Source organism: Homo sapiens, chromosome 7 (genome assembly GCF_000001405.40).
Source record: "Homo sapiens chromosome 7, GRCh38.p14 Primary Assembly".
Lineage (NCBI taxonomy): Eukaryota > Metazoa > Chordata > Mammalia > Primates > Hominidae > Homo > Homo sapiens.
The window spans coordinates 23,179,516-23,201,176 of record NC_000007.14 but is presented as its reverse complement, the minus strand read 5'-3'; the positions used below and the strand labels follow the sequence as shown (position 1 = coordinate 23,201,176).

Genomic DNA, 21,661 nt, shown 5'->3' with positions numbered 1-21,661 from the left:
ACAAACTGATTTATCTCTTTGAGAGAATCCTGAACATGAAGTCATGCTACTAATGTTTACTCTAAAAGTAGGTTAAATATTTGAGCATGTTCCCCCTAATAATTACAGAAATTATCTCCTTCCTAAAAAAAAAAGTTTAAAACTTTAAATTGTGAGACAGTAAAGTGGTATGGCATGAGAAAAGTACTTTATTCGTGCATAATTTTTCAGTTCCATTCAAAATTACAGTACAAAAAAATTCCCTTGCTTGCAGAGTTTTTGTTACTTTTTACTTAAATATTTAGAGTTAAGAAAAAAATCAAATTTAAAATCACTATTGATGGAAGCTTATATTCCTTATGAATATATACATGTATGCATATATACATCTCTGTATGAATCACTCAAAGCAATTTTAAACATCATTCTTTTTTGTATTTAAAATTGCCCTTTTAAACATTTAGAAGTTCCAGAGGTGGAGGCTTTAATGGAATTTTTCCCAGAGTAAATTTCTTGGATTGAAATTGTTCCAGTTCTTCTACTGTTAGTTTATCTCTGGGTGTGAATAACACATTATCTGTTGCAATGATGCTGCTTGAGGCTGACAGAGAAGTGGATATGCTGCTATTTCCAAAAGTGTCACTGGATGGCTTAGAAAAAGCAGTGTGAGAATGTGAGCCCGGACTACCAAAACCAGCCACAGAACTGCCACCTCCAAAGGCTGGGGCCACTGGAGCTCTGACAGGACCTGTTGCCAAGGAAGCTGGAAGTCCTGAAAATCCAGGTGATCCAAAACTGGAAGCTGCAGGGCTTTTGAATGAAAATGATGCAGCCGATGTGACTTCAGGCTTCCCAAATCCAAAAGCTGGAGCAGAAGTAGAGATACCTGAACTGGTAGAGGCTGCAGCTCCAAATGCTGGGGAACTCCCAAAACCAGCAGGGCTTCCAGAAGAGGCAGCAGCAAATCCAGAGTTTGTTTTAAAACTAAAGTTCTGAGCATTATCACTGCTGCTGTTATTGACTGGAAAGCCTACAAACAACAACAACAACAAAAAAAACAACAAAAATCTATTACGGTCAGAAAAATGTCACAATTATTTCCTCCCCCTATCTTTTTTTCTTATTTATGTCATGTTTCAGTGTTGAGAAGCTTACTGGACGGACGAGATGAGGAAAGTAAAAATGAGAGGCTAGAACTACCCACTAAAGCCTGCTGCCTGTCTTTTCTGCTAACAATCCCATTTTCACCTTGATCGACCTTCACCCAAGGAGAAACCACAGGGACTAGGGAATAGACTTTCACTTTGGTTTCTACTTACCTCACCAGAGCTGCTACCTGAGGACAATGCTATGCTGTTATACACAGTGACAAGAAAGTTCTCAAAGGTGCTGCTATCATAGCTATGTACTTCTACGAAACTCCTGAAAACTCATTCCTAAAATGTACTTCTAAAGCTTAAGTGTCTTTCAAAGAACATGCCCAATCTGGCCTCCCTTTCACAAATGTCTAATGAGTCAAATGCTTTGAGGCTCTATGATGGAAGGTTGTAGAATTTACGAAGGTAATTTAAAATGGCGATTCAGGCTTGTAATTTGAAACCTATAAAATCTAATTTTTCTAAATCAGTGAAGTCCTGCATTACTTTATCACTTACCTGGCGACATAAATGTTGCTGCTTGACTGCTGCCAAATCCAAATGCAGGTGCTGCTTGATTTACTCCATCCTTTACATCAGAGAGCTGAAAAAAAAAAGTGTGCAAATAATAAAGTGCTTGATGAATAGTGCTCCAGTATCTTTTCTATACACTTTATGGACAAATTCAAGTTTTTAAAATGTGCATTAAAGGCTGGGTGTGGTGGCTCACACCTGTAATCCTAGCACTTTGGGAGGCTGAGGAGGGTGAAGGGCTTGAGCCTATGAGTCTGGGACCAGCCTCAGCAACACAGCGAGACCCCCATCTCTATAAAAAATTAGCCAGTGGTCCCAGCTATTTGGGAGCCTGAGGTGGGAGGATCACTTGAGCCTGGGAAAGCCTGGATGACAAAGTAAGACTCTGACTCAAAAAAAGAAAAGAGAAGAAAAAAGTGCATTAAAAAAGGCAAAGTTAAATGCTTAACATGGAAAATGCCCATAATATGATGTTGAAAAGGATAAGACATAATACTGTATAAACAGTATAATCACAACTAGTAATATGAATATGCATAAAAAATGTACATTAGTAAGTTAACAGTGATTATCTCTGGCTGATAAATTACAGGTGATTTAAATTTTATTTATGCTTTTTTATACTTTCTAAATTTCTACAATGAGCAGATATTATAATCAGAAAAATATTTTTAAATTTTTTTCAGTGTCTATAAGGGTAGATCTGCATTTATCAAGAAATCTAGATATTAGGTAAAAAGGACCTTTATAGAATACCCAGTCTAATACTCGAAGTAGATCCACTATTATATAATTAAAAGCTTATGACTAAAAATCCATTAAACATTTCCCATTCCCTGAAAGTACTTTATGTTCTTGCTGTTCTGTGCTCTAGAAATGTCTTTCATCTCTGCTTACTGAAATCTTAATCCTACTTTCAAGGAACTTTGTATTTGCTCCTTCCTTTCAAGAAGACTTTCTTAATCATCCAAAGCAAACATAAGCGATTTCTTTCATTTGGAAGCCTCAAAAGCATTCTTTGGCCGGTGTGGTGGCTCACGCCTGTAATCCCAGCACTTTGGGAGGCTGAGGCGGGCGGATCATGAGGTCAGAAGATCGAGACCATCCTGGCTAACATGGTGAAATCCCGTCTCTACTAAAAATACAAAAAAGCTGGGCGTGGTGGTGGGTGCCTGTAGTCCCAGCTATTCGGGAGACTGAGGCAGGAGAATGGCGTGAACCCGGGAGGCGGAGCTTGCAGTGAGCTGAGATGGCACCACTGCACTCCAGCCTGGGTGACAGAGTGAGACTCTGCCTCAAAAAAAAAAAAAAAAAAAAAAAAAGAATGCTTTTGTTTTTGAGACTGCAACCTCTCCTGGGTTCAAGTGATTCTCCTGCCTCAGCCTCCTGAGTAGTTAGGATTACAGGCGTGTGCCACCATGCCTGGCTAATTTTTGTATTTTTAGTAGAGACCGGGTTTCACCATGTTGGTCAGGCTGGTCTTAAACTCCTGACCTTGTGATCCGCCTGCCTCAGCCTCCCGAAGTGCTGGGATTACAGGCGTGAGCCACTGCACCCAGCCCTCAAAAGCATTCTTGCTCCTGGTCCCTGGCAACCACTCTGTCTGCTTTCTATCACTACAAATGAGACTTGTCTTTTCCAGAGTTTCATACAAATGGAATCACATGGTCTACACTATTTTTTTTTTTTTGGTCTGGTTTCTCTCCCTCAGTGTAATATTCATTAACAGGCAGATGATAAACAAATTATATCCATACAATGGGTTACCATTCAGTATAAAGAAGGCATGAACTCCTGATACATGTTAAGTCAGCTATGGGTGGGTTGTCCCACATTCTAACCTATGGAAGGGGCCCTGGGCAGTTAGCAAGGAGCAGGGACCTTCCAGCCCTGAGGGAAGTTCCACAGTTCTTTGGACTCAGTTATCCTTTCTCCATCAGCTCTCATCCATGGTGATGGTGGGCCACCTCTCACACAAGGACAGACTACTTCCAAGAGGTCCCACTAAATTCAAATAGCATTACAAGAACTAAAAGATGAAAGAAATTAGCTTGCACAAGAGTCTAGTTATTCAGGAAGCACATATTTAAGAAAGGGGTGGGGTGTTGGGACTGTCAACCATTCACTAAGTGTAGGGAGACATTACTCTCATATCCTTATACAGAGTAGAAACCATCTGAGAAATTGGAAATATTAAAATTATAAATGTGAATATCTTATTTTAAAATAAAATTCTTAAGAACTTTTTAATGGGTGTAGAAACATCATAACTTTATTTACAAAGATAATGAACTTGCCACAGTCGGGACCATAGATCTTTGGAGACAGGTGGGTATATATCTTCCAAAGGCATTTCTGTTTAAGACAAGGAACATACTGTGTTCTTCAGTCGCAAAACGATACATTACATTCTAAATGTGCATTCATATAACTGTTCAAAGTAATTTCTTTTTACATACAGATAACCTTAAATACTTAAACTTATGTAATAGTTTGCCATTTTCAAAACTAGCACTACCAAAGTTAAAAACTTTACCCTAAAAAGCTTTTAAAAAGCATAACTATTTCTGCTTTTCTGACCAAGGAACACAGAGAAAACTATTTCAAGACCCTGACTCTTAAGTGATGCTATTTTGGGAATGTGTGTATCATAATTCTTGATAGAAAATTTTTGTTTTGCTTTCCAAATCTAAAGTAAAATATCCTCTGCAAAAAAGCAATAGGTAAGACACTTCCCTCAAGAAAACTCTCCCATACTCACCAAAGCTACTTTAGTTGATATATTTAGACTTTTCAGTTCATTTACCCTGTTCCTCCATTGATTTATTAAACGTTGGACAGAATTTAGCTGAAAACGGAAGACAGAAAAATAACAGTTCAATATTGTATGTTTAAGTTAGTTTCTTCAATAAAAACTTCACATACTTCTTTGCCAAAATCACAAAAGGTTTATGTAACAGTTTTATGGCCCATGACTTGCAAAATTTGCATTGACTTGGCCTATTTGTCAAAGATATGCCAGCTCCAGTTCCCTCTCCCGTTCAACTCCTTGTATCATCTGGTTAGTATCACAAGTACCTGGCAGCACGTAGTTAGTTATATTTGGATGGGCGGTGAATACATGTACTAGTTGAAATGCATGATCATGACTGTAGAAACAGAAAAATACAGCATTTAAACTGCTTCCTTCAGGTACTCAACTTATTCTAGTCAAGATTTTTAATTTTTTTTGATATTTGATATATGAGGATGTTAATCTGTATTACAGACTGTATCTTATTTAACTTTGTTTTTCTAGCATTCATCACTGGATTGGTACCTAACAGATGTTCAATAAATATCTGTCAAATGATAAAAGGGTTTCATTTCTGGGATTGACTGTTGGGTAATTTATAATAAAAATAGTAATATTCCTAATTATTAAAGTAAAAATATATTATCATTTTAATAACCAACCAAATTCAATGAAAATAATATAGAAAAGAAAAATAGCCTACTCCTGAAAAAAGATCATAGACCTCATCGGTTTTGCCAAAACACAAGCCACGATAAAGAAAGCAGTAATTAAGAGCTCATCTGTTATTGCAGTAGATTAATAGGAAACAAACTTACATAACTCTGTAAGTTATTGCTGGTTAAGAAGTTATGGTATTCAAGCCTCAATTCCTCTGGTGAAATGTCTGTAAAACCTGAAGTGAGGAATCAATCGGAATCTTTAAAATAAATGCCAATAATTTTGATAGTAAAGCTAGAGGTGCTAAACAAGAAAATATCTAATGTTGATTAGAAAATTTTCATAACCATGAGGAAGAAACTTAAAGCCTACACTCTACTTAATGTTTAATAAAGTGTAAAATTACAGTAAAATATAGTTGGTTATTCTGATCTTTAAATGGGGAAGATTTTCTAAAGATAAGTGGCGTAGAATGAACAACAAACACAGGAGAAAGATTTGACTACATTTATATTCAAACTTTTATTTTAAAAATTCTGCCAGAAACTATACTAAGCAAAATTACAAGGCAAATGGTACACTAGGAAAATTGCAATTTTAACATATATGACAAGAGAAGAACTAATGCCCTAATGTACAAATAGCTCTTACAAATAAATGAGAAAAGTAAATGAATTTGGGCAAAGATAATGAACAGGCAATTCACACACAAAAAAAATCAAATAGTAAATAAATGAAATAAAGTTAAATGCAACTTAAAATAGAGATAAAATGCTTTACTTATCAGACTGGCAGAAATTTTAAAAGCTGGTATTTACTGTTGTTCCAAATGTGGTGAAATGTATCATTTCCTAAATTACCGTTAAGGGAATTAAAATGGTACAAGTTTTCTGGGAGGGATAATTGTTAATAAGCATCACAAGCCTGAAAAACATTCATATCCTGTGACTTATAATACAATTTATAGGATTTAACCTTGGGAAATAGTTATATATGTAAACAAAGGTTGCTATGTATAAGGGTGTTCATTCTAATATTTTTAGTACCAGAGACAAACTGAAAGCAAAAATTAGAATATAAAACTAGGGCCGGGCACGGTGGCTCACGCCTGTAGTTGCAGCACTTTGGGAGGCTGAGGCGGATGGATCACGAGGTCAGGAAATTGAGACCATCCTGGCTAACATGGTGAAACCCCCTCTCTACTAAAAATACAAAAAATTAGCCGGGTGTGGTGGCATGAGCCTGTAATCCCAGCTACTCGGGAGGCTGAGGCAGGAGAATTGCTTGAACTTGGGAGGCAGAGGTTGCAGTGAGCCAAGACTGCGCCACTGCACTCCAGCCTGGGCAACAAAGCGAGACTCCGTCTCAAAACAAAAACAAAAACAAAAGCAAAAACAAAAAAAACTGGATTACAGCCGGGCGCGGTGGCTCACGCCTGTAGTCCCAGCACTTTGGGAGACCAAGGCCGGTGGATCACCTGAGGCCAGAAGTTCAAGACCAGCCGGGCCAACACGGCGAAACCCTGTTTCTACTAAAAATACCAAAATTAGCTCGGCGTGGTGGCATATGCCTATAATCCGAGCTACTCGGGAGACTGAGACTGGAGAATCGCTTGAACCCGGAAGGCCAGCCGAGGCTGTAGTGAGCTGAGATGGCGCCACTGCACTCCAGCCTGGGCAACAAAGAGCGAAACTCTGTCTCAAAAAAACAAAACAAAACAAAAAACAAAGAAAAACTAGATTATGATCCTAATCATATATATGTATACGTATATATGTATAGGTGAGAGGTGACAGCTTGCTGGCAGCCCTCACATTCCTCACTCGCTCTGGGTACCTCCTCTACCTGGGCTCCCACTTTGGTGGCACTTGAGGAGACCTTCAGCCCACCGCTGCACTGTGGGAGCCCCTTTCTGGGCTGGCCAAGGCCTGAGCTGGCTCCCTCAGCTTGCAGGGAGGTGTGGAGGGAGAGGCGCGAGTGGCAACCAGAGCTACCCAGGGCCCTTGCTGGCCAGCTGGAGTTCCGAGTGGGCGTGGGCTTGGTGGGCCCCACACTCAGAGCTGCCGGCTGGCCCTGCCGGGCAATGAGAAGCTTAGCACCCGGGCCAGCGGCTGCGGAGGGTGTGCTGGGTCCTCAGCAGTGCCGGCCCACCGGCGCTGCGCTGGATTTCTTGCCGGGTCTTAGCTGCCTCCCTGCGGGGCAGGGCTCGGGACCTGCAGCCCGCCATGCCTGAGCCTCCCCCTCACCTCCGTGCGCTCCTGAGCAGCCTGAGCCTCCACGAGGAGCGCCACCCCCTGCTCCACCGGCACCCAGTCCCATCGACCACCCAAGGGCTGAGGAGTGTGGGCACACACCGCGGGACTGGCGGGTAGCTCCACCTGTGGCCCTGGTGTGGAATCCACTGGGTGAGGCCAGCTGGGCTCCTGAGTCTGGTGGGGACTTGGAGAACCTTTATGTCTAGCTAGGGGATTGTAAATACACCAATCAGCACTCTGTGTCTAGCTCAAGGTTTGTAAACACACCAATCAGCACCCTGTGTGTAGGTCAGGGTTTGTAAATACACCAATCAACACTGTATCTAGCTACTCTGGTTGGGACTTGGAGAACCTTTGTGTCCACACTCTGTATCTAGCTAATCTAGTGGGGACTTGGAGAACCTTTGTGTCTAGCTCAGGGATTGTAAACGCACCAATCAGCACCCTGTCAAAACAGACCACTTGGCTCTCTGTAAAATGAACCAATCAGCACGATGTGGGTGGGGCCAGATAAGAGAATAAAAGCAGGCTGCCCCAGCCAGCAGTGGCAACCCGCTCAGCTCCTCTTCCACACTGTGGAAGCTTCGTTCTTTTGCTGTTTGCAATAAATCTTGCTGTTGCTCACTCTTTGGGTCCACATTGCCTTTATGAGCTGTAACACTCACCGCGAAGGTCTTCAGCCTCACTCCTGAAGCCAGCGAGACCACGAACCCACTGGGAGGAACAAACAACTCCAGACGGGCCGCCTTAAGAGCCGTAACACTCACCGCGAAGGTCCACAGCTTCACTCCTGAGCCAGCGAGACCACGGACCCCACCAGAAGGAATAAACTCCGAACACATCTGAACATCAGAAGGAACAAACTCCGGACACGATGTCTTTAAGAACTGTAACACTCACCGCGAGGGTCCGTGGCTTCATTCTTGAAGTCAGTGAGACCAAGAACCCACCAATTCCGGACACATAGGTATACATATATACACACATAGAACAACTTATACATCCCTGTACAAGTGGACCCTTGCAGTTCTGTTCAAAGGTCAACTGTACACACAGCTGTACAGGGTCCACTTGTACAGGGGCCACTTGTACAGGGATTTTCTTCCGCCTCTGCCACTCCTGAGACAGCAAGACCACACCCACCTATCCCTCTGCTACTCAACATAAAGACAATAAGGATGAAGACTTTTATGATGATCCACTTCCACTATGTGAATGGTCAATATATTTTCTTATCCTTATGATTTTCTTTTTCTTTTTTTTTTTTTTTTTGAGATGAAGTCTTGCTCTGTTGCCCAGGCTGGAGTGCAGTGGCATCATCTCGGCTTACTGCAACCTCGGCCTCCTGGGTTCAGGCAATTCTCCTGCCTCAGCCTCCACAGTAGTTGGGATTACAGGCATGCACCACCAAGCCCGGCTAATTTTTTTTGTATTTTTAGTAGAGATGGGGTTTCACCACATTGGCCAGGTTGGTCTCGAACTCCTGACCTTGTGATCCACCCGCCTCAGCCTCCCAAAGTGCCGAGATTACAGGCGTGAGCCACCGCGCCTGATCCGTTATGATTTTCTTAACATTTTCTTTTCTCTTACAGTACGTTATTAGTAGTTAAGCTTTTGGGGAGTCAAAGCTTATACGTGGATTTTTGACTGCACAGAGGATCAGTGCCGCTAAACTTTATGTTGTTCAAGGGTCAATTGTATACATAAACAAGAAATATGTTTGTGTGTGTATATGTTTCGAAAGAAATATACTAAAATGTAGTAGTTACCTCTGTGATATCAGGTTATTTTTATTTTATTTATATATTTCTGTACTTTCCAAGTTTTCTAAAGCAAAAGCTGTAACTTGTTTTTTATTTTTGAGACACAGTCTCATTCCTGTCACCCAGGCTGGAGTGCAGTGGCTCACTGCCGCCTTGACTTCCTAGGCTCCAGTGATCCTCCCATCTCAACCTCCTGAGTAGCTGGGACTATAGGAATGTGCCACCACACCCTGGTAGAGACAGGGTTTCGCCAAGTTGCCCAGGTTGGTCTCAAATTCTTGGGCTCAAGTGATCCACCTGCCTCAGCCTCCCAAAGTGCTAGGATTACAAGCATGAGCCACCACATCTGGCCCAAAAGCTGTAACTTTTATAATTGGGCAAACTTACTAAGAAAGGCAAAAAATGTTCAAGATATTTTCTACAAAGAATTCCTTGTAATCCAGTTATTATTAACTCCAAGGACACCTGCTTCAGAGTAAAGGAAAGACTAAATGTTTCCCTGGATTCCTTCTAATGACTTGTCTTCCCCATCTTTACTGACCTCTCAGGCCAAAAAACCCTAGGAATCACCTTGGATTTCTCTTTCCCTATATCTAGTTAATCAGCATCCTGCCAGTTCAAGCTCCAACAGAGAACCCAAATATGACCAATTCTGTCTTCACTGCTATGAACTCTAGTCACAAGCAGCAATGTCTTCTAACTTGTCTCCCTATCTCTACTTTTGCCACGGCTCCCAACAGACCTTTCTCCCCCCTCACACAGCATGCTGAGTTAGCTTTTTCTAATCAGATCACGTCCCTCTTTTGCTTAAAGTTCTTCATGGCTGCCTGCCCAGTGCAATTAGGCCCAACATGATCTGGCCCCTGGCTATCTCTCTGGCCTTACTGTCATATTACTTTCCCTTGTTTACTCTCCTCCAGTAATTCAGGCCCCACTAGTCTGTAAACACTGCCAACCTTGTTCTTACCTCAGGGCCTTTGCAATAGCTAGTCCTACTGCCAGGAATGTTTTCCCCAAATCTTCCCATAACTGATACCCTCTCTTTATTCAGGACTCATTTCCAATACTGTCTCCCAGGAATAGATAACCACTCTATCTAAAGAAATATTGTTCCCCTAATTGCCTATTCCTTCCAGCTGTGCTCAACCAGAATTCCTCATCCAAACCACAGAACACAGAAAATGATTTGAGTGATAATTTTCTCAAGTCTTGCAAAATGGGGCAAAAGTAGTATCATTCTTTTTTTAATTTTTTATTTTTATTTTTTATTATACTTTAAGTTTTAGGGTACATGTGCACAATGTGCAGGTTTGTTACATATGTATGGGCAAGGACTTCATGTCTAAAACACCAAAAGCAATGGCAACAAAAGCCAAAATTGACAAAAGTAGTATCATTCTATTATAGCTGCATGGAAAAAGTTAATTTATTAATACAATGGATGCCTAAGGACAGAAGTACTCAAACTTTTGGTCTCAGTACTCCTTTACATTCTTAAAAATCATTAAGGACCCCAAAGAATGTTTGTTTACAAGGGTTACTTACATTGATAATTACCACATTTGAAATGAAAACTGAGAAACTTAGTATTAATTCATTTAAAAGTAAGAAAACAATTACTTATCTACATAAATGAAAAAGCTATTTTCCAAAACAAAAAATGAAAATTTAGTAAGATGAATAGCCTTGCTTTATGTTTATACATCTCTTAATGTTTGGCTTAATAGAAGACTGCTGGATTCTTACATATGCTTCTGCATTCATTCTGTTGCAATATGTTGTTCTGACTGAAGTGTATGAAGAAAATGGGCATTCACACAGACACGTATTGGAAAAGGAAGACTTAAATGGCTTTTTCAAATAACTGTGGACATTTTTCTTTGATACTACACCAAAACTTAACAAGTGGTAGTTTTTTAAAGGTTAACTATAACATAGACTCAAGCCATACTAATGAACTTTTTGTGGCATTATATTAACATTCACTGGTTTATCATGCATGTAGAATGGACTTTCAGCCATGCATAATTTTGTAATATCACATATAAGTCATTTGAAAAATGCCAGTTCACTGAGTTATGCAGAACTTCTAAACATTGGCACGTTATTATACAACATCAAAAAAATTTTTTTTTTTTTTTTTGAGACAGAGTCTCACTCTGTCACCCAGGCTGGAGTGCAGTGGCACAATCTTGGCTCACTGCAAGCTCCGCCTCCCAGGTTCATGCCATTCTCCTGCCTCAGCCTCCCAAGTAGCTAGGACTACGGGCGCATACCACCATGTCTGGCTAATTTTTTGTATTTTTTAGTAGAGATGGGGTTTCATCGTGTTAGCCAGGATGGTCTCCATCTCCTGACCTCATGATCCACCCACCTCGGCCTCCCAAAGTGCTGGGATTACAGGTGTGAGCCACCGTGCACAGCCAAAAAAATTTTTTAAAGAGACAGGGTCTCGCTCTGTCACCCAGGCTGGAGTGTGGTGGCACCATCAGAGCTCACCATAACTTTGAACTCTTGAACTCAAGTGATCCCCCCACCTCAGCCTCCAGAGTAGCTAAGAGTCTTGGCATATGCCATCATACTCAGGCTAATTTTTGTATTTTTTGTAGAGACAAGGTCTTGCTATATTGTCCAGGTGGTCTCAAACCCCTGGCTTCAAGCCATTCTCCCACCGCAGCCTCCCAAAGCACTGGGATGACAGGCATGAGCTGCTGCGTGTGGCCCTCACATTTGTGAATGTTGCCATCCATTTAATCAGAAGAGATTTTAAGTACTGAGAAGCCATCATGCTCACGATGACAAAGTTTTCCGTAATTTCAATTTTTGCTTGAAAGTTTTAATTTTTTTCATTGGCAATAAACACTATCAACTGTTTTCTTCTAAATAACCATAGTTGTCATTCCTTTCAAATAAATATTGTCTTTGAAAAAAGTGGCTAGCTCAGTCCAACTTGAACAATTACACAAGATTGTTCATCACACTTGGGCATGGGGCAGACACACTTTTTGTGTGCTTCCCATTTTGTCACACAGAATACTAAAAAGGTGCGTACTCAGGGTCAAGGGTTAACAAAATTAATAATTTTTATCTCTTCATAAAGGAAGTTCTTAAGTTCAAATGGCATTAAACATTTTTTTATTGTGACATCTACTAGTAATTTATTGCCTCTGCCTTGATTCTTGCTAAGATACAAGTAGTTCTACTCCTCAATGCTGCTGCACCAACAGTGCAAATGTCAACACAGTGAAAAATGGCAATTAATCACTTAGTATTATCAGAAAATATTTTTGAACTCAGGCAACTCCTAAAAGGGCCTCAGGGATAAAGTTGCCAGACTTAGCAAATAAAAATACAGGATGCCCAGTTAAATTTGAATTTCAGATATACAATAAATACTTTTTTTAGTATAAATGTGCCCCAAATATTACATGGCATGTACACATACTAAAAACACTGTTTATCTGAAATTTAAATTTAACCGGATGTCCCATATTTTATCTGACAACTATATTCAGGAATCCACATTTTAAGAACCACTGCTTTAGGGCAACAGGCATTAGGTTCAATTTGGAATGGATTAATACTCAAGTACTAATACTTAAGCTGATTAAGGGCTTAATACTTTGTGGTTTCTTTATAGAAAATATCATTATCTGAAATTATCTTAGTTTATTTGCATCACTTATTGTTTTCCTCCCTCAAGAATGTAAGATTCATAAGGAAGGGATCTTGTCTGTCTTGCTCATCACTATATTCCTAGCACTTAGCACAAAAGAAATTCAGTAAATATTTGTTAAATGGACAAGTGAATAAATAAGAAGCGTTGTAATGCAAATGCTCACAGAAAATGAGCAACTAGAACTGAGACAGAGGAAAGATCCCAAGGTTCTGCGATATTGATTGCAAGAGCTCCCATTTGCAAGGTACCCACTGTTTCCTCAAAAGGACGGAGGCCCAGGAACACCCAGAGTGGGCTTGGGAAAGCCCGGTGGTCTAGGTTTCAGCCCAGAAAGGGCTTAGGGACTATGGACAAAAAAAAAAATAAAAATAAAAAATAAAAAAAGAGAGAGAGAATATTCTAAAGCAAATGCTATTCCAGGCCAGAGAGAGAGAGAGAGACAGAGAATATTCTAAAGCAAATGCTATTCCAGGCCAGGTGTGGTGGCTCACGCCTATAATCCCAGCACTTTAGGAGCCTGTGGCGGGCGGATCACCTGAGGTCAGGAGTTCTAGACTAGACTGGCCAACATGGTAAAACCCCGTCTCTAGAAAAATACAAAAATTAGCCAGGTGTGGTAGCGGGCAACTGTAATCCCAGCTACTCGGGAGGCTGAGGCAGGAGAATCACTTGAACCTGGGAGGCAGAGGTCACAGTGAGCCGAGATCGCGTCACTGCACTCCAGCCTGGAGGACAAGAGTGAAACTCCGTCTCAAAAAAAAAAAAAAAAAAAAAAAAGTTGCTATCCCTGTAGCCCAGCTAAGCCTCCTCACATTTAAACATTATCTCCAGAACAGGTCTCAACACAACTATTCTTAGAAGGAAAGACAGGGAAGAAAGAACAGAACCAGGCAGCCAAGGCCTTAATGACAGGCAGGATGACTCTTCTATTCACAACAGGAAGCTAAGAGGTTCCAAAGTTGTACATACAGGGAATCAAGAACGTAGAGTCTCTTCCTGGGCTTTATTTAAATGTTTTCTCCCAAGAACTATATGTCTTAAAAGACTATATTCTCCAACCTTAATCTCTAAATTATGAAGTTTGGCTAGAATACTCGAATACTTTAAACAATGCCCAAACTCTCCTAGTTGTAGCTAAGTTGGTAGTTGATTTCTTTATTTGGCATTCTTTTGGTTTTAGAAAATAATAGTTTTAGAACATACTTTAAAAATGCACAATTTTTCAGTTACCTGAAATATTAGGTTTCTTTTTCACTGGTGAATAAACAGAAAACATCCACTGCCCTGATGATTCCCAAACCTCCATATCTTTTACAATTCCTTCCCTGCAAAAAAGAAAAAAAAAAAAAGAGTAAAGGATCTTCTTAGCTGCTTGGTAAAATTTATTGTTAATGGTTTTCCACAACTGAAAATTTAAATTCTAGTAAATACTTTTCCATTATATTTTCTGAAGAGTGTTCTTTAAAGCACAAGTTTATAGAAGTGTGAACTATATTTCATGGTTACAAATAGTATTATAATGTCAGAGAAGTTAATGAGTTTGGCTTTCCAATACACTGACCCATTAACCAATGTTAATACATAACATTGGTTATGATATGTAACCATATCATATGGTATCATTGGTATGATATGTAACATTGGTTATGATAGTAATTACATAAATACTATCATAGATACCATACTTTTTTTAGGAATTAAAATCTAAAATACTAACTTTAATCTTTGTTAATTATCACAAACATCAATAATCATTTAACTGGGAAGAACAAAGTACCACTTACGTGATACAGAATCATAATATTTTAAAAGTGGGTTATAGGACTTCAGAGATCATTTTATCTAATTCTCACATTTTGCAACAGGGGAAACAGACCCACATCCATACAACTAATCTGTGGTAATGCCGTGGGTAGATTCGGCTCTAAATTAAAGTTTCTCCCTACTTAGACTATGTCAATAAAAGGAGAATTATCACAGAGAAAACTGTATTAAATTTAGAATTGCAACAAATGCAGAAAGGAAGGTTTTGTTTGCTCATTTACTTAAAAAAAAATCGGTTGTATATGGTATATGACTCAACATGTCTACAACTGGTTCTGATTTAATTAGGATAAGTAAAAGACTAACCAATTACATTTAAATTCCATCCTAGTCACCATGAGTTGAGAGAACATTACAGATAGCCAAGCATTGTTTTGACACCAGCCATAAATTTTACCATAAATATTCTCAAGAAATGTCATGTATCTACTCCATAATAAATGTAGGAAATCAAATGAGATCAGTTTGAATAGGATAATCCAAGTAAAAGTTTTAGAAAGAAATAAGATATGTGGCTGGGTATGGTGGCTTATGCCTATAATCCCAGCACTTTGGGAGGCTGAGGCAGGCAGATCACTTGAGGTCAAGAGTTCAAGACCAGCCTGGCCAACATGGTAAAACCCTATCTCTACTAAAAACACAAAAAATTAGCTGGCTTGGTGGCAGGAGCCTGTAATCCCAGCTACTTGGGAGGCTGAGGCAGAAGAATGGCTTGAGCCCAGAAGGCGGAGGCTGCAGCGAGCCGAGATTGTACCACTGCACTCTAGCCTGGGCAACAGAGCAAGACTCCGTCTCAAAATAAATAAATAAATAAATAAATGAGATGGTAAAATGACCTCCAAGTTCACAAGTTGTTCTAAATTACATCATACTTTGTAAAGGACTTGTAAGTTAGAATGAACTTAAGCAGGACTAATCTTAGAAAGATATTCACAATATAGTGTTATCAACACAAAGTGGAAAAAGCGTAATTACCCCTAGGAAGGCACTCTACTATTATAGAAAGATGATATATTTTTAAGTGAAATAAAATCTAGGGTAATACACAGCAAAAGAGTGGCTATCTATGAGTGATAGAATTGTGGGTGATTTTTCTTCTTTTTGCTACTCTGATTTAAAAATAATGCATTATTTCTTTTTTTAAAGAAAATATTGTATTGTGAAAAGATGTTACAAAAAAAGAGAAACAACAAAGATTGTAGGTGAAAAAACATAAGCAAATGGATAGTAATTTTCCTGAAAACTTTCACTTACAGAAGTTTCTTTTCATCTTTCTGCTCATCAGGACTAAGTGAAGCAAATGGGTTCTCAGACAATCCAAAGCCTTCCTTCCTGTTAGTTGAAGCTCCAGAATCAAAAGAACTGAAATATGGCTTTTCTTGATCTCTGCTGCCCCCCCATGGTGTGGATTTGGAGAAACTGGATGGCTGGATGACATTGGAATATCTCTGGCTAGTTGTATTCCATCCACGTCTATTATTACCTAAAATAAACAATAAAACAAAATAATTTTACTAGCAACTTTTCTTTCTATTTTCTTTTTAATTGAGATAGGGTCTCACTCTTTTGCCCAGGGTGGAGTACAGTGGCATGATCTTGGCTCACTGTAACCTCAACCTCCTAAGCTCAATCGATCCTCCCACCTCAGCCTCCTGAGTAGCTGGGACCACAGGCGCAAACCACCATGTCTGGCTAATTTTTGTACTTTTTGTAGAGATAAGGTCTTGCCATATTGCCCGGGGTTGGTCTCAAACTCCTGGGCTCAAGAGATCCACCTGCCTCAGCCTCCCAAAGTGCTGGAATTATAGGCATGAGCTACTGTGCCCAGCAACTGTTCTTTAAAATCTCAAAAATCTTCATTATATCTTAGTATGTCTAGACAATATAGAAAGATTCAACAAGCACTACATTTAAACTCATTTTAAATGACAATCTCTTCATTTTTTATTTATATACAGTAGTTAGGTTGTAATATCAACAAATCACATAGTGGCCAATTGCATTTTTGTTTGAGATTGAGAAGAAAATAATATAGAAAAATAGTGATATATTACTAAATTCAGCTGACAAAGCTTATTAAATGAACAACTGCTTGATAGTTAAAAGTTGACAGAAGGCATGCATCATAAATCATAAACTCCTTCAGGATAAAAACTTGGGTTTTTATCATTCTTTGCTCCCCCACCAGGCCCTATACTGTAGTAAAGGCTGAAAAATGGACATTGAATTAAAGTTTCTCGAATATGAAAGATTACATTCTACCCTCTGTTTTTGTACAGATGCTTAAGTCTATTTGACGCAGTCTTTTCTCTGGGCAAACACCTACACACCTATTTTCACAGAGAGATTATACATGGTATTTACATGTGTACAGAATGCATGTAGTTCCTCTACCAGCTTTCCAATATTTCATAAATATCAAAATGAGCCAAAAAGATTCTCTCCTCTCTTTATATATTGGTTTTGTTTTGTTTTTTAAAATCATTTTAGCAATCTCATTTACTCATCACTTCCTAGTTGGGGCCAAGATTAAGGTAATTCATCTTGTTTCTGACTGAATAAAGAGATAAGCCATTAATTATATTAAAAGTTAGAATGACACACATGCCCAGTTGTGAAAGTTCATCCTGCAACTCTAAACTACCCTAAAAAAAAAAAAAAAAAAAGTGGAGATTGCTAGACCAGATCCCTCAAGTAGAAGTTAATGGTATCTTCTTCTTCTAAAGTTCCAAATTCACTGGGGGATGATACAACTGAAGAAACTCACTTCCTCCTTTTTTTTTTTTTTTTTTTTTTTTACATTGCTTTTGGTCTTCATACTTATAATTCCAGAAACATTCATTTGTTTCTGGGAGCTAAATACAATTTGTCTGCCAAATTTTGTTTACACTCACATTCATCAGACATGAGTCCTAATTTTCGGTCTGAAATATTTCACTAGATTAATTGTGGAGGAAATAAAAGGACTGTCTTCCCTGAAGTGGGATCAGACGTGAAACCATCACGCAATACAAGGTTTAAAGGTTAGATGAGGCCCGCCGCGGTCGCTCACGCCTGTAATCCCAGCACTTTGAAAGACGGAAGCGGGAGTATCACCTTAGGTCACGAGTTCGAGACCGGTATGGCCAAAATGGCAAAACCCTGTCTCTACTAAAAATACAAAAATTATCAAGGGCATGGTGGCGGGCACCCGTAATCCCAGCTACTCGGGAGACTGAGGCATAAGAATCGCTTGAGCCTGGGAGGCGGAGGTCGCAGTGAGCCGCCTGACTGAGAGAGCAAGACTCCGTCTCAAAATAAAATAAAAAAATAAAGGTCAGATGAATAGCCCTAAAGGAGGGGAAGGAAGGGAGACAGCACCGAATTATTAACCCGATCTTTAAAAATCTTGTGTTGTTCTAAGGTTTCATGTCTAATCTCTCCTTTCCTTGAAGATAAAAAGCTTTGACAATGATCTAGGCCCAGGGACTAGATCAACGTGGCCCCCGCATCTCCTTTCCTCACCTCCCGGATAGCCCTTAACTGGGCGTCCCACATTCCCAATTTCACCCCAAATTTATGAGCAGGTGCATTTTTGCGGTATGGCTCTATAGGTTTTATTAGATTTTCTTTTTTTCTTTTCTTTCTTTCTTTTTTTTTTTTTGATAGTCTCGCTCTGTCGCCCAGGCTGGAGTGCAGTGGCACGATCTCGGCCCACTGCAACCTCCACCTCCCGGGTTCAAGCGATTCTCCTGTCTCAGCCTCATGAGTAGCTGGGATTACAGGCGCGCGCCACCACGCCCGGCTATTTTTTTTTTTTTTTTTTTTTTTGGTATTTTTAGTAAAGACGGTGTTTCACTATGTTGGTCAGGCTGGTCTCAAACTCCTGACCTCGTGATCCGCCCGCCTCGGCCTCCCAAAGTGCTGGGATTACAGGCGTGAGCCACCGCCCGGCCGGTTTTATTAGATTTTTTCAAAGAAGTCCACGACTTCTCCAAAATGAAGTCCTGATTCTGACCCAAGCTGCTAGCCTCACCCTCGAAAAAACAACTTAGTAAAAATTATATTCAATTCCGGCATTTACCTACAAGGTAGTTTCGATAGGTACTTCCGATTTAAAAACTCAGTTTCGCACAAGCATCCAGGCCCAAACCCAGGTCCTCAGAAGCTCAATAAAAACGGACCACATGAATAATATGTAGATAAAACCCTCGGTTTAAAAACGTTGTGCAGGGCCCAGTAGGGCCGGCAAGGCCGCGACGCGGGCACGTTGGGGTCACCAGCAGCGGGAAACACGCGGGACGCCCGGTCCCCGCCGGCGGACCCTTCCCGGCTCGGTTACCGCGGAGGATTCAGAGGAGAGTCACCTGAAGGCTGCTGCTGCGGTTGCTGCCGTCCTCCTCCTGCACCCCTAGCACCGGGATGTTCGTTCCAGCACCGATCTCCAAAGCGGCACCGGCCTTGAAGGAAGAATTGACAAATGGCCATTGCGACGGCGTCGCTGACGGAGGGCGTCTTCAGTCTGCACCGTTCGATGCCTGTTACTGGGCAGAGAGCCCTAAGGCAACCTCGGCGCCCGGCCGGGCTACTGTGACGTCATCTTCTCGCGCCTGGGAAGGCCTTTTTCCGCCTCTCACCCGGCAGTGCCATGAGACGCATGGACTTGAGCCAATAGGACTTGAGAAGAGCGGACCGCTCTGACGCTTTGAGTGTGTCCTGGGAAGGAGGGATGCTTGAACGGTTACGTGAAGACCGGAGGCGCGTTTGACCCCGGTGCAGGGCCTCGGACTACAGGAAGGCTGGAGGTCCAAAATGAGAGGAAAGCGGAGCAAGCAAACGCAGAACTTCAGCAAGGCCCTCAGAGGAGAATTAGCTATGATTTGAGAGACTGAGTCGTTCTTGCTGAGACGGTAAAACTTAGCTTGGGCTGAGAAAGTAACAAACTGCCTAGCCTTTCATCTGGATGGATAACAGAGTCAAATAAAGCCAGACGACGTTAAGAGGAAACAATGTTTCTTTTAGGACATGCTGCAACGGAAAAGTATTACCACTTAAGTACATTCTTACTACACACTGAGAAACCTTGTTATTTCTTCTTTTTTTTTTTTTTTTTTGAGACGGAGTCTCGCTCTGTCGCCCAGGCTGGAGTACAGTGGCAGAGCTTGGAGGCAAGCTCTGCCTCCAAGGTTCATGCCGTTCTCGTGCCTCAGCCTCCCGAGTAGCTGGGACTACAGGTGCCCGCCACCACGCCCGGCTAATTTTTTTGTATTTTTAGTAGACACGGTTTCACCGTGTTAGCCAGGATGGTCTCTATTTTCTGACCTCGTGATCCGCCCGCGTCCGCCTCCCAAAGTGCTGCGATTACAGGTGTGAGCCACCGCGTCTGGCCGAAACCTTGTTCTTTCAAGTCCACATAAACGTTGCTATTTGAAATTATATCAGAACGAGTGAAAAGTCCCATCCTTGCCTGGAGGATCTAAGTCTCTTTGACGCAGAGAAGCAGCCTCAATTTCTATCCAGGTGTAGAGCTTCAGATAAACGGTTCTGAAAACATTCTGTATTTTCTTAACTTTGCAGTTTCCAAGGAAACATGCCCTACATTCAATTCTCGTCCAGACCTGATGTTAATGCCTTTACACACAGCTATGCTTTGAGATTTCATTTAAATTTCACCTAAACTTCACTCTCCCCGCCAAAACATACAATAACTACCTTTTATTTTGTACGGTGAGACACACCACAGCTCCTCTGGTGTGCAGTCTTCTTGATTGCAATAAGTCAATAGATCTGACTTTGTTGGATTACAGGTTTGTGCTGGTGGTTTTAGGATTATTGAGCTGGGAGTGAGCCATCATTCTTGCTCATGTAATTTGTTTGGATTTTGAAGACAGCAGAATCTACAGGACGGGAACTACTTGTCCAAACTAGTTTTTTATTTTCTTTAATCAATGCAATTCATTTATTTTGAAACAAATTTATGGAAAAGTTACAAATAACAGTACAAAGAACTTTTTTCCTGAACCATTTGAGACTATGTTGCAGACCTAATGCCCCATGATCCAAATACTTATTGTATATTTTCTACAAACAAACCAGGGCATTCTACATAACCACAACACAGCCAACAAAATTAGGACATTGATACTGATGCACTACTACTCTCTAATCCTTAGACTCCATTTATGTTTTGCCAAATGTCCCAATATTGTCCTTTAGAGGAAAAGGGTTCAGTTCGGAATCATTGTTGCTTAGTCATATTTCTTGTGTCTCCTTCAATTTGGAAGATTTTTTGTTTTTCCTTTTCATGACCTTGACACTATTAAAGACTACAGGCTGCTTATACTGTAGAGGTTCCTTAGTGCAGGTCTGTTTGATGTTTTCTCTTGATTAGATTCAGATTATGCATCTTTGTCAGGATTATCACAGAAGTGATGCTGCGGTTTTCACATTGCAGGTTGTGCACAATTTCAATTTGTCCTGTTACCTGTAATGCTCAATGGATTACTTGCTTAAGGTGGTGTCTGCCAAGCTGCTCTACCATAAAGTTATTCTTTTCCTTTTTGTTATTAATAAGAATTTTGTGGGGAGGTACTTTGAAAGTATATAAAAATCTGATTGTTCATCCAACTTTTAGCTCATTCACTTATTTATTTATATCAGTATGGACTCATGATTTCCAATGTTATTCAATGGGTTATAATCCATTACTATCATTATTTATTTTGATGCTCAGATCATCTCCAATTTGGCCAATGGGACCCCCTTTAAGCTCCTTTACACATTCGAAAAAGGAGAAAAAAAAATTCCCCATGATTACTTGAGCACTTTTTTACTTTCTGGTGCAGAGATGTTCCAGGCTCATTTTTACATTCTCTACTCCAGTCCTGAAATCAGTTATTTCTCCAGGGGTCCTTTTGGTGCTGCTTAGAAACCAAGATCTGAGCTTTAATGTGCTTATTGCTACTGGGATGTCTTTGCTGTCATGAACATTGCTGGGAAATACATATGTATAAACAAACACGAACATTTACATCAAACATTTCTATATTTTATATATT

The 21,661-nt window shown here is 40.4% G+C and overlaps 1 protein-coding gene across 7 annotated transcripts, besides 3 other annotated features; it reads right to left on the bottom strand.

Moving 5' to 3' along the window:
• Positions 1-170: 170 nt before the first annotated feature.
• NUP42 (nucleoporin 42) lies at positions 171-19,129 on the bottom strand. 7 transcript variants are annotated; one of them, NM_001370443.1, is made up of 8 exons: positions 18,971-19,129; positions 15,879-16,107; positions 14,031-14,125; positions 5,262-5,338; positions 4,411-4,497; positions 3,930-4,004; positions 1,635-1,719; positions 171-1,009 (listed from the first exon to the last, which is right to left on the bottom strand). In NM_001370443.1, the coding sequence occupies exons 1-8, from the start codon at positions 19,089-19,091 to the stop codon at positions 432-434; spliced, it is 1,347 nt and encodes a 448-aa protein (NP_001357372.1). In that variant the 5' UTR covers positions 19,092-19,129; the 3' UTR covers positions 171-431. The 7 variants fall into 7 exon arrangements, with proteins under 7 accessions (NP_001357372.1, NP_001357375.1, NP_001357374.1 ...); NM_001370446.1 differs by having other exon boundaries at positions 3,947-4,004; NM_001370445.1 differs by lacking the exon at positions 3,930-4,004 and having other exon boundaries at positions 14,031-14,120; positions 15,875-16,107.
• Positions 7,345-7,916: an enhancer, noted in NCBI's record as "H3K27ac-H3K4me1 hESC enhancer chr7:23232880-23233451 (GRCh37/hg19 assembly coordinates)". NCBI's record gives its function as "activates a minimal SCP1, AML or CMV promoter by ChIP-STARR-seq in naive H9 embryonic stem cells {active_cell/tissue: H9 hESC(naive)}" and the evidence as "EXISTENCE:reporter gene assay evidence [ECO:0000049][PMID:30033119]".
• Positions 18,765-18,834: an enhancer, noted in NCBI's record as "active region_25720". NCBI's record gives its function as "activates an Ori minimal core promoter by ATAC-STARR-seq in GM12878 lymphoblastoid cells {active_cell/tissue: GM12878}" and the evidence as "EXISTENCE:reporter gene assay evidence [ECO:0000049][PMID:35858748]".
• Positions 18,935-19,534: an enhancer, noted in NCBI's record as "active region_25719". NCBI's record gives its function as "activates an Ori minimal core promoter by ATAC-STARR-seq in GM12878 lymphoblastoid cells {active_cell/tissue: GM12878}" and the evidence as "EXISTENCE:reporter gene assay evidence [ECO:0000049][PMID:35858748]".

Bases quoted from the DNA above. Each gene is read 5' to 3' on its own strand.
- NUP42 (NM_001370443.1), bottom strand. From the start codon at position 19,091: ATGGCCATTTGTCAATTCTTCCTTCAAGGCCGGTGCCGCTTTGGAGAT. The intron at 4,005-4,410 runs GTGAGTATGGGA...TGTCTTAAACAG, and splicing joins TATCAACTAAAGTAGCTTTG to AAATGCCTTTGGAAGATATA. The intron at 1,720-3,929 runs GTAAATAAAGTT...TTTTTTTTTCAG, and splicing joins GTGGCAAGTTCATTATCTTT to CTCTCTGATGTAAAGGATGG.